Source organism: Homo sapiens, chromosome 18 (genome assembly GCF_000001405.40).
Source record: "Homo sapiens chromosome 18, GRCh38.p14 Primary Assembly".
In the NCBI taxonomy this organism is placed as follows: Eukaryota; Metazoa; Chordata; class Mammalia; order Primates; family Hominidae; genus Homo; species Homo sapiens.
This window is the reverse complement of record NC_000018.10, coordinates 30,334,194-30,347,720: the sequence shown is the minus strand read 5'-3', so window position 1 is coordinate 30,347,720 and position 13,527 is coordinate 30,334,194. Positions and strand designations below refer to the sequence as shown.

Here is a 13,527-nt window from a genome sequence, read left to right as displayed (position 1 = left end):
AAGTCAAGAATCGAGGTTTGGGCACCTCAGCCTAGATTTCAGAGGATGTATGGAATGCCTAGATGTTCAGGCAGAAGTTTGCTGAAGGGGTGGGGTCCTCATAGAGAGCCTCTGCTAGGGCAGTGCAGAAGGGAAATGTGGGGTCAGTGCCCCCACACAAAATTCCCACTGGGGCACCACCTAGTGGAGCTTTGAGAAGAGGGCCACCATCCCCCAGACCCCAGAAAGGTAGATCCGCCCACATCTTGCACTGTGGGCCTGGAAAAGCAGCAGGCGCTCAATGCCAGCTCATGAAAGGAGCCTGGAGGAAGGTTGTATTCTGCAAAGCCACAGGGGTGGAGTTTCCCAAGACCATGGGAATCCACCTCTTGCATCAGCATGACCTGGATGTGAGACATGGAGTCAAAGGAGATCACTTTTGAGCTTTAAGATTTGACTGCTCTGCTGGATTTTGGACTTGCATGGGACCTGTAGTCCCTTTGTCGGGGCCAATTTCTCCCATTTAGAATCGTTGTATTTACCTAATGCCTGTACCCAAGTTGTATCATGGAAGTAACTAACTTGCTTTTGATTTTACAGGCTCATAGCTGAAAGGGACTTGCCTTATTTCAGATGATACATTGGACTGTGGACCTTTGAGTTAATGCTGAAATGAGTTAAGACCCTGGGGGACTGTTGGGAAGACATGATTAGTTTTGATATGTGAGGACATGAAATTTGGGATGGGTCAAAGTGTGGTTGATATGGTTTGGATTTGTCCCCACCCAAATCTCATCTTAAATTGTAACTCCCACAATTCCCACATGTCATGGGAGGAAACTCATAGGAGGTGATTGAATTATGGGGTGGGTCTTTCCTTGAGCTGTTTTCATGATAGTGACTTAGTTTCATGAGAGCTGATGGTTTTAAAATGGGAATTTCCTTGCACAAGCTCTCTCTTGCCTGCCGCCATCCATGTAAGATACAACTTGCTCCTCCTTGCCTTCCACCATGGTTGTGAGGCCTCCCCGACAATCTGGAACTGTAAGTCTATTAAACCTCTTTTCTTCCCAGTCTTGAGTATGTCTTTATCAGCAGCATGAACAAAGACTAATACAGATGCATATCATAGTTTGTGTTCTAGAGTATGTATCTTTTAGTGAGGAGCAATAAGATATAAATGTTAAAACATGTATAATTTACTAAAATGATAGAAATAGAAAATAGGAAGTTACTGGGTAGAAGAAAATGAAGAAAAAGAAAAATTGCTCATTCAAAAAGAAGTCAGGAAAAAAGAAAAAAAAGTAGAGTGTAGTAAATATAAATTCCAAAATAAAATGTCAATAATAACTCCTAACATAACTCCTAAAATTAATATTCTAGACCAGTCTGGACAACAAAGTGAGATCTTGACTCTAGAAAATTTTTAAAAATTAGCTAGATGTGGAGGCATCTGCCTGTAGTCCTAGCTACTCAGGAGGCTTAGGTGAGAGGATAGTGGATAGCTTGAGCCTGGGAGGTCGAGCCTGCAGTGAGCCATGATCACACCACTGCACTCCAGCCTGGGTGACAGAGCAAAACCCAGTCTAGAAAAAAAAAAATAAAACCATGTATATATATATATAAAATATATATATACATGGTTTTATATGTATATTTAAAAAATATATATGGTTTTATATGTATATATACACATATATAAAATATATGTGTATATATACATGGTTTATATATATGTGTGTGTGTGTATGTGTGTGTGTGTTTGTGTGTGTGATATACCTCTCTAATTAGGAAAAAAGACTTTAAATTCAGCTATTATGCTGAATACAAGTAATAAAACTAGTTAAGTAAACACAGAAAGTTTAAAAAATAAATTTTAAAAGATACATTTGTTAAATGTGAAGAAATTGGAGGGTAGCCAGCTGATGGAATTTGATAGCATTTAAATTAAATTATATCTATTAAAATATAATATTGATTGAAATATGGTATATAAAACAAATTTATTTCCTGTATATGTATGTGGTTTTAACATACACACACCTACCTTGTGAATGTGTGATATCTATAAAACATGAATGGGAAAGATAGGCATCAAATTATGATAGTGCTTGTCTCTGAGGAAGGAGAGTTGGGGATTGAACTGCAAAGGAGAAATACCAGGAATTTTAATTCTGATAAATTACGTTGACAAATTACTTATATCTATTAGTTTTGGCAGATTGGTAAATGGTTATATGCAAGCTATTCTGAGTAAATTTCTGTTTCCAACTTATCAAAATAAAATAAACAAAAATTCATACCCTACTTCATGATGAGGCTGATCCTCTTATGTCCCCTCACTCTCTGCAGTGCCTTAATATAACCTCAGGAACCAGTGGAAGTCAGAGTGATCTATTTACTCAATTCACTCCTGTATATCCTTCAAAATGCTTCTCTGGAATCGTTTGTTTTAGGATGAATTTCTGAGGCCCTGTATTACTTTTCACTTTTTTGTGAAACAGCCAAAAACCCAATTCAAATGCCTTAAACAAAGAAAGCAGAAGGTGGGAGAAGAATATATTGGTTCATAAAACTGAGTAACTGGAGCATCCAGGTTGAATCTAGCCTCAGGCAAATCTGCATTCAGAGTTAGAGTAAGGTTATAGGACTGTTTCTTTCTATTTCTTTGCTTTACTTTTCACTCTATTGACTTAATTTTTAAATGTCTCCACTTAACATCATAAATGTTTGAATTAACCTGATATCTTCTAAGCTTCAGTCACAAAAGAAAGAGCAAGGGAGCTGTCAGATGCACAGCAAAATTCTTACAGGAATGAACTAACTATAACTAGGGTTGGGGACAGGAAAGCCCAGCTAGCCTGCGTCAGTAAGGCCTAACTACAGGGAAAGGCTGAAGCTACTATTTTCAAGACTTTGCCTAAGCTAGTTCTTGAAGTGCTGCTTTCTTCACTCTGTTAACAGTCTCCCATGACAGTTCATGCACCATCATAAATAACTTACACATAAAACCTTGGCTCAAGGTTGGCTTTTGGATAACCATACTTGAGACAGGGTGTATTAATTTACACACAATTATAAAGCCTTGTATCTGGAGCAAGAGTGAGGTCAGTAGACCTAAACCCCATGGTGGAGTATGCATAGGGTTTTCTCTCAAGCAAAACTTGGAGTCTTGTTTTACCAGATTTTTGTAGCTTGTAAGAATTAAAGAGAGAGGAAAGAGACAGAAAAAGTGGCTTGACAGTTAAAGACAGGTTTATTTTAGAGAATAAACATGAGAGGGGCTTCTGGCCAAGTTAGGTCAGGGGCACTCTCTCCTATGGACTAAGAGTTTTTAAGGATTTAGGGTGGGAGAATTTATCAGAGGCTTGGACTGCTTCTGTGTTTCTTTGTTGTGCTTATTTGGGAGTGAGAGTTGTATGTCTGTTCCCATACATCTTTCTACAGCTGCAGGCATACCCACCGAGTCTGCTTTTAGTTTCCCTAACTTAGTGCACCTGAATATAAGTGCACCTTCCTAATAAAGGAATGTGCTTATTAAGGCCCACTTTTACTGGGGCCCATGTATGAGGGTGAAGTGTGGAAGTTACCCAAGAGACTCCCCCGCCGGCTCCCCATGTCCAAACTGTCTGATCTGTGTTCTACTGTCTGCTCTTTCTGGCTCCTTGTTGTTAAAAGAGAAGTAATTTTCTTGAAATGCATGAGGCTAGGATAGAAGCTGGAACTTGTCCGAAAGCTGGTGTTTGTCTGAAATACTGGTGCTCCTGCTCTGTCATAGCTTTATAGTAAGCTTTGAAATTGAGTCTTGTGAATTCTCCACCTTTGCTCTGATTCATAATTGTTTTGGCTCCTTGGTTCCTTAACCTAAATACAAATTTTGTATATAGGAATATTGAAAAATTTTGTAAACTGCTATTGAATCTTCCTACTCAGCTAAACTTATGTATTAATTTTATACTTTTAGTTAAATCTAAAATCTTTACCGTAGTTTAAAAGGTTTAGCCAAGCTCTACAAATAATTTTGTATTCTCTCTCTTAAGCAAATAATTCTTTCAGCCCACAAATGTTCCAGGCTCTCTGTTTCTCCTCCAAATGGTTTTATCTGTAGTTACTTCTCCCTGAAACTTTTCTGTCATCCCTCTAACACAGTCACCTAGTTAACTACTACTAAACCTTGGGCTTCACTTCTTCAAGATGGCATCCCCTGACTTTCTCACTCCTAGATAAACCTTGTCATTATTGCCATCCAACTGTTATGAGGAAATGCAGAGTCCTTGGTTCTTAGTCATACTTGCAGAAAGAATTCAGCCAAGAGAATAATTAGTACTGTAAGCAAAAGGTTTAATAAGAAGATAATGGTACACTCCAAGAGAGGGCTGACCCCACTGGGAGCAGTAGCCGGAGCAGTAGCCATATTTATTTAAAGAGACAGTACACTCTGGAAGGTAAGGGACAGTGGGCTGCTGAAAGAATGAGCCAGAAGCAGCCCCAAGAGTTCTGCACTGGGTTTTTATGATGTTGGATTTTTTTTTTCATGAAGCTGCTGCCTGTGTCATAAGTCTCCACCTTTTTCATTTGTCTAGTTTTACCACGTCTGCCTTAAGTCCCTGCCTTTTTCCCCACCTAGTTCCCCCCTGGGCTTATTACACCCTCTCTTACATTAATAATAGGTGCTGTACAAACACTTAACAATTTTCCACTATAACAACCTGATATTTAGCTATTTTACTTCCTCTTGCTCTCAAATATATAATGATGCTGAATTGGTTGGTGTGCATGCGTGGGCCCAATGTTGGACACAAATTCTACCTAATGGCTGCATGACTCATTACCACCATGCCAGGAAGGTCCTATAGTGGTCAAATCTATATTTATTGCACCTGCGTGGCTCTTAGGAGTTTCTCCTTTGCCCTCTTTCCCTCCTTATAAGCATGTAGCTCACTACATTCTGACAGATTAACTGCAGAGTGAACAATGACTGAGCATGTTAGGAATCATTTCTCTCTGCATAGGTATTTCCTTTCCTCTCTGCTCATAACTTGCATCCATGTTTTGGGTGGTCTCTGGGATGTGAGATTTTCCAGACCTGTCTTTTCTTAGGGGCTCCTCCTCCTGTTCATGTCTAGCTCTCTGCCTACTCTAAGACAACTACCATGTTTATAACACTTATTGTAATTGTAATTATGTATATTCAATATCCATTTACTCACTAGGCTAATTTCATTGAGGCAGAGAGTAAATCTATATTGTTTATTCCTGACTCCCAGTACCTAATAGAGTGAGAAGCTAAGTTTTGCACATCTATTTTAGATGGTCTTTATGTATTTCTTGAATAGTTAAATGAATAATATGAAAACAAATAATATATATACAAATTACTGCATATGTTAAATTCTGGATCATCAAAAATATATTTCTTATTCTAAATGTAAAAGTCTGGGGTGTCAGGCTAATAGCAACCTAAATAATCACTACCATTATGGATACCAGTACAACTTTGCCAAATACTATTTATTGAGTACGTTACATATAATAGGCATTTATAATGGATACATTATAAATACAAATACTTTATGATTTTCCATTATAACGACCTGATATTTAGCTATTTTAGCTACTCTCACTCTCAAACATGGAATGATGCCCACATTTTAAAAATTTCGAGGTAATTTTCTGAATTTCACAAATGAGAGAAATCCACCTCACAAGTAAAGTAAATCATTTATGTAGCATATACAGACTAAAACATCCACAGACATGAGTTTAAGGCAGTTCCACTGTATTCAACAATTATTTATTGTTTACCTGATAGGCACTAATCGTTACATATTGTACAAATAAATAAAACATAATACTTCTTTTCCCAATTGAGGATGTGTACCAATGAATATGTCAATGATTCTAAGGTAAATCAAACAATGAAATGAAGAACAATACAGGCATAAAATGTTTTGAGGCTTTGGAGAGAGAAAGATCAGTTCCGAAGTCTTTTAGGAGGAAATGATATTCAAAGAGATCCTTAATTGGCAAAGAAAGAAAAATATCTGCAAACCATCATGTAAAACAAAGAACCAACATAATGATATAAATAAGTTTGAAGCCTTCATTATGTTACACTTTAAAAATTAAATAATATGAACTAAAGCTTCTACTGTTTTGTGCTTCAAAAAGGTAAAAACTCAAACTTCGTGTCTTTCTTTCTTTAGATTAGTAGTTACTGTATTTATAACTCTAAACATTGCCTTTGTATTTCCCAGAAAATGCAATCAAAATAAATATTTCTACTTATTTTGAAATATTGTCATATATCTCCATCTTTATATTTAATATGCCTTAAATGTTACAGTTTCACCATTGGATGGCAATATTGCTTGTTATTTTCTCTTCAGTATTCTAATAAACTTTTAGCTAGTGAAGAAATATATATGTGGTTGAAAAATTAAGATTTGCTATTCAACTTCATTTATTTATTTGTGTTATTTTACTTAGTATATCACAGTAAAAACATGCACAAAATGATGCCACCTCCACATTGTTGAAATGGTCTCAGTTAAGAACTCAATAGGTTTAACATTCTTCTTTCTACATGAAAGGAGAGGTTACCTTATATTGAGCCTGGAACTATTCTTAATTTGCTATTTTGACTAAATAAATTGTGCACCAGCCTTCTCAAAGGCAAAAATCCCCACTATTAAGGACCATATGAAAAGAGGTCCATGGTCATTGGTTGTGACTCATTAGAATCTCAATTCCCTGAAAATCACTTTTGCTCAATAAATATTGTTAAAATATTTGAATTGCTAGGGATAAATTTCAAAGAAGAAACGTTTTAATGGGTGACTTCAGTAACTGCAACTTATATTCTGATTGGTTGATCACCTCCTTTCTGTTTACTTGTCTTAGAAGTGGTCCAGCCCTAGATAACAATGCAAATGCTAAAGTATTTCCCAAAGGAAAGGGTAATTTTCATAGCAAATGATGGTAACCTTCAGTTCTTACAGAAAGGAAGACTAAGAATTGTTACAAAATTATACAATATATCAGATGTTAATAAGACCATTTTTAATCAATTCATTAAGAGTTATTGGATTATTGTAGAGAATTTTTATCTTGCCCACAGTCCATGACAAAAACATATTCCTAGTATGCATTTCCATTAATGAATTATAAATAACTGAATTTCATTGTGACTCCCAGAGATGGATTAATTACAAACTGTATAAAGATGTTTATCTATATAAAGTTTACTTTACTCAAACTAATATCAATTACTTTCTCCATTTAGTAATGTACCATGAATATTCAATATGTCTAATCTTTTTAAATAAATTGGGCAGATTTGTACAAACTATACCTTTGAAAATTAAATATTGAAACTAAGGTCATTTTCTAAGTAGATAAATCATCTAACTTGCTGACATGTTTATAATTTAGTTTTATTTATAGTAGTGTACCATAAAGTCGTGCATTTTAATAAATATAAGACTAACCTATTGTTATTTTCTATTATGCTTTCTATTATGTTTACTAAAATTAGTTTCATTATGTTAGGAATACACATCATTTTCCATGTAGGAATACTATTTCAAAACCGATCAGACGTGCATTTGGTAAATTTGGATTTGCGCATCTTTTATGACTGCATTTGATGAGTCTACCTGCAATGACTGCCATAGTAATATTAAGGGTGTGTTATATACAACTTCACCATTTTCTCTAATATCTAATAAAAAGGACTTACTATTTACTATTCACAAATGATTTTTAACCGTTTTCTCTTTTTCCCGGAGAATACTCACCGGCGGCACTTGCGGCTGCAGCATTTACCCTGAGATAACTTTGCCACACAATATCTCATTTTATTATTATTTTCACATTGCTCGAGTATATCAACTTTGGAAACAAAAGACATCATTCAATTTATAGCATTCTGTTTTTAGTAGTGGTGTTACCGTTTATAAAATATAGTGATTCTTGATGGCTGAAAATGTCAAATCCTAGAAAACAGCTTTCTTATGCATGATGTTAACATCATTCTACAACAGTTGTTGGTCGAAACTTCATTTGATGGATCTGAATTTTCCAAAATAGGTAATTCTTATGATTCAGACGATTTTGATGTTAGTTCTGTCTAGAAATAACTCCAAGAACAATTTTACTATTTTATTTTCATATTGAATATCAGTCACATTTGCTTCATCCTCAAAGAGCATGTTTACGCAAATTAAATAACCACTTGCAGCAAGCTGCACTTTTTTTTCTACATGGGAAATGGATTAAAGGATCTTAATTTGTGATAACGTTAGATATATTTCTGAAAAATGTCCATATGGAAATAAGTTGCTTAGTTATATTTACATACTTTGGAGCATCAATATCTATAGTAATTGGTGAATACTCCAAATACATATTCAAGACAAATGAGGAATCCATATTGCTTCAATGGTCCCAGAGTCAGACATTCTAGAGTATTCACGGGTTTGTCCTCAAAGAGTAAAGCATCTTATTACAAGTTGAGCCCATTTTCTAGGAGACAGTTTTCATAAAATTAGAGATAATCATTTTACATAAAAATGTTATATTTGTTGTATTTTAGAAACACAGCCTTTGCCTTTTACATAAACACATAGAATTTTAAAGATTTGCATTTATTAATACTGACAATTTAAGAGGAAACCATCCTGATTTTACCATTGGCCCCATGTTGTCACCCGTTTCTCCCTACTCAAACATATTATTTTAATTCTCTCTTATTTCCAATTATGAAATCAAATAATCAGTGTTTCTAAAATTGACTGATAATGCACTACCTCCGTATATCATCTATTTTGATAAGTAATATACTCGTTTTTAGTAAAATGATTAAAATCCTAAATATAAAAATCCGGTCATTTTCAAGTACATAGCTTTTTCAGTCTGCCAAAACTATAGGCAGACTTCTATGAAAACTGAGTCATGCAATAAAGGCTAAAGTTAAAATATTACATATTTTATAAATCTCAGATTATTCAGTACATGACAAATAACTTTCATGGGTAAATACAATGAGAACAGTGAACTTCATAAGTACAGTATTCATTTATTTAAGAAATAGTCGTTCTTTCGGATACCATTTGACAAATGGCACTGGAGTTCCTTCAACCCTTATTTTCATATCTATGACCTGAAAGTAACAATTGAAACAGTAAGCGTAGCCTGCTTTTATAAGTAGGAAGAATACTTAGAATTGTATGCAGACATCCATGCTGTCTTTTGAATTGAATCTAATTCAAGGAAATAATTATTAGATACATAGCCATGGTAAGGCAGTAAGCAGAGTTTCTATTTGCCCTCTGTGAATTGTATTGACCTGAAATGTTCTCTTGTTTTTTTTGAGTTGTTATGACCTTCCTGGCACCGTGCTGCCTGTGCCTCATTTCAATGAAAATGTACAAGTTGATTACCTAATGTCAATTATAATGAAAGAGGATTTTGAGTGTTAGCTATTTATGGCTCAGGAAACTATCTGCAAACACAATTAAACACTTCATTTAAAACTTTATATCAATTATTAAAACCAACAGAATCGCTATGGTAACAACATACCACACAGAATCAAACATTCCCAAATGACTTTGTTAGGATTCTTTGAATCATGAATAAATGAATAAAAAGAGATGACAGGGCTATTTGAAATGTTTAAACTTTGCAAAACTGAAATCTTTTTACCTGCTTGGTGATTAGATATAAATAAATCAACTTACAGCCCTGATCAAATGTCTTCATTTAGAAGGCATTCACATTTAGTTGCTAAACCTTACCATAGAAATTTCAGGGGAAAGTAATTATAGAAGCAATTTCAATTTAAAGCCACACAGGGAAATAATTAGGGGTAATAATAAGCATGGCCTCTGAACAAAGACATAGAAAATAGATTCTGTATATTATCTAAATGAAAAAGTTTAAAAAGAAAAATAGCAGTGGATATGGCTTTTAGGTTAAAATCAGGAAAACCACAGTATTAATAGAGCATCTGTTTCTAAGTACATATCACTCACACAACTATGTATCCAAGATTGTGCTTTGGTGGTGTCTAGAGATAGGTTTCAAATATGATATAGATACACATAAATAGGTTACAAATACCTTTTCATATATTGTGCTAAATATTAGCTTTGGTCTGATAGCTTCAGTCCTCTGATAATCACATTTCAAGGACTGTCTTTTGGCTCTCAGTTTAAGTTTTCAGGACTTAGGTGTTCAAAGAGGAAAGAGGAGTGGGAGTAGAAAGAGGATAAAAGAAAAGGAATAGTAGTAAAGACAGTGCAAGATAATATTACGGTTATTTGGACCAAGAGAAGCAGTATATCAGAATGCTTAAGACATCACCTTAGTAACTAGAATTTAAGATTCAGACCCTAAATTCACAGTTTACAGGAAGTATAACTTTAGTACATTATATAAGTCTTTTAATTTTTAATTTGGAAGATAATATCCAATTAAAACCAAAGTTTATGTTTAATTTGCTAGAGTAATAATAGAGAGATTATATTTACAGTATTTTAAAGAGTGTTTAGTATGTACTTGATAAATTTTTAAGGATGATGATGGTTATTATTATTTAAAATTCCTTAAAATAATCTATTCTAAACCAATCTTCCTTTCCATTCCCATTTTCCATTTCTCCCTGTCACTACTTATTATGATCCAATAATTCTGTACAACCGAGAAATTCCTGAGTCTATTTGCAATATTCTCTCTCTCTCTCTCTCTCATCTTCTTATCTATCTTTCTTAGTTTTGAAGAAATACTAGAGGAATCAAATACTAAAGGAAACTCCAAGAGAGTTAGAAATTTATAGGTCAATGTTCCCTGTTAATATCCTTAGTTAAAAGAAAAGAATGTATAGCAAAAGTAGCCCAAGTACATGGGTAGAATGGGTATAGACTGACTGCCCTGCCCACACTATCTCTGTGTCAATTTTGGAGTTTCAAAAAATATAGATCTTACAGAAATAAAACTTTCAGTATATAAATCAATACCAGGTCTGCAAATATATGCCATCATACAGATGAAGGCAGACAAAAATGGTCCTCCTTCTGAAAGGTAATATGGAAATTTATATGTATTTTTAAAACACACAGAAGTATTGAACTATGTGACGGTTCGAATGTATTAATAGAAATTAGCACATGTAGCATATATATACATATACATGCTTCATAAAGATTAGTATATAGACAAAGAATAAGAAAAGTTGATATCACTAATAGTTTTTTCAATATTTGTAATACACACAAGATCTTTTATTTTTTTCTCTTCACTCAGGTTGAAAAGAAGCACTGAACCACATATCTTGGATCCACAGATAACAGCTATTCTAGAATTTTAAAGATTGTAGAACTATTTTTAAATGACTTGAATGCTTATGTAATTTAGTATTGTTTAAACTAAATGATCATTCTGTATTTTACAGAAAATTTGAGGAAGGCAGTTTTATGTGACTTAGCTCATTTTTCAAAATGAAAATTGGTAGTTTAGTCTTATGATTTTATTTTCTGCTTTATTCCCTAATAGAGTAAGCATTCAATGAGTTATTTGGTAATGCAGCAAACCAAATATATAAATTTGCAAAAAAAACTCATATTATTATCTAACACAAGGAAATAATTACATTTTACATATGTAAATGTTGTTAACATATACACATTATTTGCATATAATCATTATTGAAATGCCTTTAAAAATAAGACTTCTTTTCAATTTTCACATTGGTGACTACCAAAGAATGAATTGGATATAAAAGAATTTGTATTTTAAATGTGTACTTGAATGTTTGAAAGCTCAGAAGAAACACATAAAATAGCTTATAAAACAGTATAGACTATAATAATGTATTCATTATATTTCTTAACTTTGCAAACAATATTTTCATATATTCATATGTTTAACACTATCAAGCATTTGTGATTCATAATGCTCTTTTTATCTACCTCAAAGTCTATTCTAGAGTTAAGAGGTTCAGAAGTGTCCTGAAAGTAACCATTTTGCTATACAAGTAAAGTATGGTATCACTCATAAATATGTTTTTTAGTCTAAATTAATAATTTATTTTTAGAGCATTGAATTTAAATCATACATTGATTAATATGGTAGGTATGTAGGTGATGAAGGGATGAATAAAATAAATTCTCTTTTACCAAAAATCCTAACTCAAAAAATTAATGTTGAAGGATTTTTTCTTTTTTTTGAGATGGAGCCTTGCTCTTGTCGCCCAGTCTGGAGTATGTTCAAGGATTTTAAGATATGCTAGGGGTAAGCGAGAAATGTTCAGGTATAACTCTCATGAACTCTGCCTTATTTACCCAAATAATACTGATCCACCATCTGTAGGATTGATACCTCATTTATTTTCCTGTCAGGGATAAAAATTTACACTGACATATTTGTAGCCACCTCCTGATGTTAGGGTAGGTAGATAGAAATGAGCCAGGCAGGGTAAGTCCCCAGGAATGTCAGGCTACTGTCAGTGAGAAGCCATTGTCAGGTGGCCTGCTAAGTGGTCACAACCATCCTCAAGGAAGGATAGCTGCCTGATCAACAGGGAACATCTGAGGTTTGGAGGTAAAAGCTCCCTGATAAAATCTTAAAAGTCAGGCAAGAACACTCAAGAATGTGCACTAAAAGAGAAAATGGCCGAGTTTGACTAGTATGTAATCTTTCTCTGGAAATGCTCAAGAGAGCGTGTGCATAAGTTCAGTAAGCACACTGGCGTGCAGCCCCTCCCGAGCGCTAGCCGGCCCCTGCACACTCAGACAGCCCATCCCAAGATAGGGATCAAAGGAAGAGAAAGGTAAAACCCGAAACCAGCCAATGTATAAAAATCCCAAGTTAAAGGCTGGATGGAGCACTTGACCTCTCTAGTCTCCTGCTTGGCCCTCTTCCAAGTGTACTCTGCTGTTTTTGTTTGTTTGTTTTTCCAATAAACCTTTACCTTTGCCTTAAATCTACTTCTGCCTGGGCTGAGTTCTTTCCTCTGACGAGGCAAGAAGCAAAGTTGCTATGGATCACTGCGACTGACTGCCAGTTCCGACCCATCACTGGTAACACTGGTGCCTCCTTACCATTAACAATTTGATCTTGGGCAGTATCTAAGAAATAAAGAAAGCCAACTACTTTACAGAGGTATCTCATTTTCCTGAAAACTTACCCAAGCAGAAAACCTATGTCTGAATTCATCTATCTGTGTTGCCTTTCTTGCTCATAACAAAACAGAAACAGTGTGGATAAGGTGATTGAAAATTCATGGTCCAGAATCTCAATTAATTCATCTATATATTTTTAGGAAATGTGTATTCTCCAAATTTTCCTGTGAATACAATGTTACGGAAAAGTGCTAATTCCAGTGTCATGACTTTTGACCTCACCTTCAAGCAAAAGATTTTGCCATCTCCTGTAGTGTTCATTCCCCAAATATCTATTGATCTTTCAGCCTGTCCTATTATTAAATCTAGTCTTACTGTGCACTACTCAGTGAGTATCCATTGGATACCTGTTACAACTGAGAAT

The 13,527-nt window shown here is 34.5% G+C and overlaps 2 long non-coding RNA genes across 2 annotated transcripts in view; one reads left to right on the top strand and one right to left on the bottom strand.

The window, feature by feature from the left end:
• Positions 1-13,527, bottom strand: part of LOC105372046 (uncharacterized) — a 32,680-nt gene that overhangs the window by 2,353 nt on the left and 16,800 nt on the right. The gene's annotated exons all lie outside the window — the stretch shown is intronic.
• Positions 1-13,527, top strand: part of LOC105372047 (uncharacterized) — a 61,121-nt gene that overhangs the window by 39,139 nt on the left and 8,455 nt on the right. The gene's annotated exons all lie outside the window — the stretch shown is intronic.